The 4,832-nt window shown below is 36.6% G+C and overlaps 1 annotated feature.

Moving 5' to 3' along the window:
• Window positions 2,433–2,599: a silencer, noted in NCBI's record as "fragment chr7:118947178-118947344 (GRCh37/hg19 assembly coordinates)". NCBI's record gives its function as "represses an EF-1alpha promoter that drives an FKBP-Casp9 reporter gene in an ReSE screen in HepG2 liver carcinoma cells {active_cell/tissue: HepG2}" and the evidence as "EXISTENCE:reporter gene assay evidence [ECO:0000049][PMID:32094911]".

Here is a 4,832-nt window from a genome sequence, read left to right on the forward strand (position 1 = left end):
CGCCTGGCTGTACCATTTTTTTATCCAGTCTATTATGATGAGAAATTGGGTTGATTCCATGTCTTTGCTATTATGAATAGTGCTGCAGTGTATCTTTCTAATTGAATGATTTTATATTCCTTTGGGTATATTCCTTTGAGGGTATATATATATATTGGAATTGCTGCATCAAATGATATTTCTGGTTCTAGATCTTTGAGGAATTGCCACACTGTCTTCCACAATGGTTGAACCAATTTACACACCCAGTGTAAAAGTGTTCCTTTTTCTCCACAATCTTGCCAGCATCTGTTCTGTTGTTTCTGACTTTTTAATTGTAGCCATTCTGACTGGAGTAAGATGGTATCTCATTGTGATTTTGCTTGCATTTCTCTAATGATCAGTGATGTTGAGCTTTTTTTTCAGTTATTTGTTGGCCCCATTATGTCGTCTTTTGAGAAGTGTCTGTTCATATCCTTTGTCTACTTTTTAATGAGGTTATTGTAAATTTGTTTAAGTTCCTTATAGATGCTGGATATTAGACCTTTGTCAGGTGGATAGATTGCCAAAATTGTCTACCATTCTATAGGTTGTCTCTATACTTTGTTGATAGTTTCTTTTGCTATGCAGAAACTTTTTAGTTTAATTCGAGCCCAATTATCAAATTTTGCTTTTATTTCAATTGCTTTTGTCATCTTCATCATGAAGTCTTTGCCCATGCCTAAGAGCTGAATGGTAGTGCCCAGGTTTTCTTCTAGGAGTTTTATAGCTTTGCACTTTACATTTATGTCTTTAACCCACCTTCAGTTGATTTTTGTATATGGTGTAAGGAAGGGTTCCAATTTTAGTTTTCTGCATATGACTAGCCAGTTCTCCCAGCACCATTTATTTAATAGGGAATCTTTTCCCCAGTGCTTGTTTTTGTCAGTTTTGTTGAAGATCAAATAGTTGTTGGCGTGTAGTCTTATCTCTGTGTTCTTATTTCTTATTTGTTTATGTGCTTGTTCTCATAACAGTACCATGCTGTTTTGGTTACTGTAGTCCATTAATATAGTTTGAAGTCAGATACGGTAATGCCTCCAGTTTTGTTCTTTTTGCTTAGGATCACCTTGGCTATTTGGGCTAATTTTTGTTCCATATTAATTTTAAAATAGGTTTTCTAATCCTGTGAAGAACGTCAATGGTAGTTTAATGGGAATAGCATTAAGTCTCTAAATTACTTTGGTCTGTATGGCCATTTTCACAATATTAATTCTTCCTATCCATGAGCATGGAATGTTTTTTTCTATTTGATTGTGTTATCTCTGATTTCTTTGAGCAGTGGTATGTAGTTCTCCTTGAAGAGTTTCTTTTCTTCCCTTCTTAGCTGGATTCCTAGGTATTTTATTCTTTTTGTGGCAATCACAAATGGGAATGCTAGCGATTTGTGCACATTGATTTTGTATCCTGAGACTTTGCTGATGTTGCTTATCAGCTTAAAAGGCTTTTGTCCTGAGATGATGGGGTTTTCTAGATATAGGATCATGTCATCTGCAAACAAAGATAGTTTGACTTCCCTTCTTCCTATTGGAATAACTTTTTTTTCTCTTGTCTAATTACCCTAGCCAGAGCTTCCAATACTATATGAAATAGGACTGGTGAAAGAAGGCATCCTTGACCCCACAGAACTACAAACAACTATTAGAGAATAATATTAATATCTCTACTCGCATAAACTAGAAAATCTGGAAGAGATGGATAAATTCATGTACACATATACCCTCCCAAAACTGAACCAGGAAGAAATCAAATCCCTGAATAGACCAATAATGAATTCTGAAATTGAGGCAGTGATAAATAGCCAACCAACTAATTAAGAAAAACCAAGGTCAGATGGATTCACAGCTGCGTTCTACCAGAGGTACAAAGAAGAACTGATACCATTCTTACTGAAACTATTCCAAGCAATTGAAAAGGAGGGATTCCTCCCTAATTCACTCTATAAAGCCAGCATCATCCTGATACCAAAACCTGGCAGAGATAAAACAAAAGTTCAGACCAATATCCTTGATGAATATTGATGCAAAAATTCTCAACAAAATACCTGCAAACTGAATCCAGCAGCACATCCAAAAGTTTATCCACCATGATCAAGTTGTCTTCATGCAACGTTGGTTCAATATATGCAAATCAATAAATGTGATTCATCACATAAGTAGAACTAAAGAGAAAAACTACATGGTTATCTCGGTAAATGCAGAAAAGACCTTCGATAAAAATCAACGTCCCTTCAGGTTAAAAAGTCTCAATTAGGCAGTGCACGGTGGTTCACGCCTGTAATCCCAACACTTTGGGAGACCAAGGCAGGAGGATCATCTGAAGTCGGGAGTTCGAGATCAGCCTGACAAACATGGAGAAACCCCATCTTTACTAAAAATACAAAAAATTATCCAGGTGTAGTGGTGCATGCCTGTAATCCCAGCCTCTCGGGAGGCTGAGGCAAGAGAATCGCTTGAACACAGGAGGTGGAGGTTGTGGTGAGCCAAGATCACGCCGTTGCACTACAGCCTGGGCAACAAAAACTCCGTCTCAAAAAAAAAAAAGAAAAAAGCCTCAATTAACTAGGTATTTAAAGGACAGGGACGTACTTCAAAATAATAAGGGACATGTATGACAAACGCACAGCCAATATTATACTGAATGGGCAAACGCTGGAAGCATTCCCCTTGAAAACTGGCACAAGAGCTGTTTAAATACATTATGATTGGCTGTATTAAATTTGAGGAATGACACACAGTTTTTTTTTGGTTTTTTTTTTTTTTTTTTTGAGACGGAGTCTTGCTCTTTCTCCCATGCCGGAGTGCAGTGGCGCTATCTCGGCTCACTGCAAGCTCCGCCTTCCGGCTTCACGCCATTCTCCTGCCTCAGCCTCCCGAGTAGCAGGGACCACAGGCGCCCGCCACTGCGCCCGGCTAATTTTTTGTATTTTTAGTAGAGACGGGGTTTCACCGATGACATACAGTTTTTAAGAGAATGAGATCAAAGATGGAAAACTTTTGAGGATAGCGGAGTTAAAAATCAAGTTTCAAAGCACAAATTGTGTGTGCCTAGAAAATAGCCACAATTCTGTCATTCAGATTCTTAATATGATTATTTCCAGGGAGCGAGAAACAGCTGGTTCAGATCAAAGGGGTAGTGGAGTACATGCCAGAAAATGCATTTTACTTTTGACTTTATTTATGTTTGAAATGATTAAATTAACTGTTTTCATAACAAACAGGACTTACCATTAAACAATGGGGAAGAAAAAAAGCTTATAGAGATTGCTGGGGTTTTTTTTATTAAACATCTCTTAAAGTAAAAAATTCAGTGGGTTTTTATTGTTGAATGAAAATTTATCTATGTCTTATAAAAAATAATGGGGATTATACTTCCTCCTATGCCTCAGGGACTAATCTTCACCAAATCATTTATTTGCAGTCTGAAATTATAGCATTCATTTATATTACTGAGCTCCTTCTATGTTCCAGGAATTGTTATGGAGCCCCTAGTGTGCTCCAGTCATTATTTTGTGTGCTTGAGATAAAGCAAAAAACAAGATTGGCAAGAGGCAAAATTTCCTGTCCTCATGGAACTTATATTTTAGGGGAGGAGTGATTAAAAATATGACTGTAACAGACACTTACAGGACATTCTACCCAACAACTACAGATTAAAAGTAAAAGGATGAAGAAAGATGCACCATGCTAACACTACTTTTAAAGCTGAAGTATTTTTATTAGTTTCAGACAAACTATACTGACTTCAGAAACAAAAAACTAATTAGAGATAATAAGCAGCTTTACGAAAGATAAAGGAATTGATTTTCAAGAATCCAATACGATTGTAGGTGTGTGTGTAACTAACAGTATACCATCAAAATATTTTAGAAATAAAAGAAGAAGGCCGGGCGCGGCAGCTCATTCTTGTAATCCCAGCACTTTGGGAGGCCGAGGCGGGCAGTTCCTGAGGTCTGGAGTTCGAGACCAGCCTGACCAGCATAGTGAAACCCCATCTCTACTAAAAATACAAAAATTATCCAGGCACATGCCTGTAATCCCCAGCTACTCAGGAGGCTGAGGCAAGAGAATCACTTGAACCTGGGAGGTGGAGGTTGCAGTGAGCCAAGATCGTGCCCCTGCACTCCAGTCTGGGCGACAGAGCCAGACTCTGCCTCAAAATAAATAAATAAAGAAGAAATAGACAAATCAATTATTATAATCAAAGACTTCAACACCTTTCTTGATAGATAAAGCAGATTTAAAAAAAAAAAATGACCTGAACACCACTGTCAACTTGATCTCCTGGGCCTTTGTAGGATACTCCATTTAACAATAGCATAATACACATTTTTCTGAAGCTCAAGCGGATCACATATGAAGATAACCACATTCTGACCCATATAATGCACTTAAACACATTTAGAAGAAAAGAAATCATACAAAGTATGCTGTCAGAACATGATAGCATTAAACAGTAAATCAATAACAGAAGAAGAGCTAGAAAACCCTCAAGTATTTGGAAATTAACACACATCTAAATAACACATGGGATAAAAAAGAAGTCTCACGGAAAATAAAGTAGATAAAAATAAAAATTAACTTACCAATATTTGTTAGTGTAACAAATATATTACACAGGGTCAAATTTGTAGTCTTAAGTGCACACTTTAGAAATAAATAAAGATTTGAAATCAATAATTTAAACTTTTACCACACAAAATCAAAGAAAAATTTAAACTTAAAGAATATAGGGGAAAATAAATCATAAAAATTAACATGGGAATAGAAAACCAAATGCTGCATATTCTCACTTATAAGTGAGAGCTAAGCATT

This window comes from Homo sapiens, chromosome 7 (assembly GCF_000001405.40).
Source record: "Homo sapiens chromosome 7, GRCh38.p14 Primary Assembly".
NCBI classification, from domain to species: domain Eukaryota; kingdom Metazoa; phylum Chordata; class Mammalia; order Primates; family Hominidae; genus Homo; species Homo sapiens.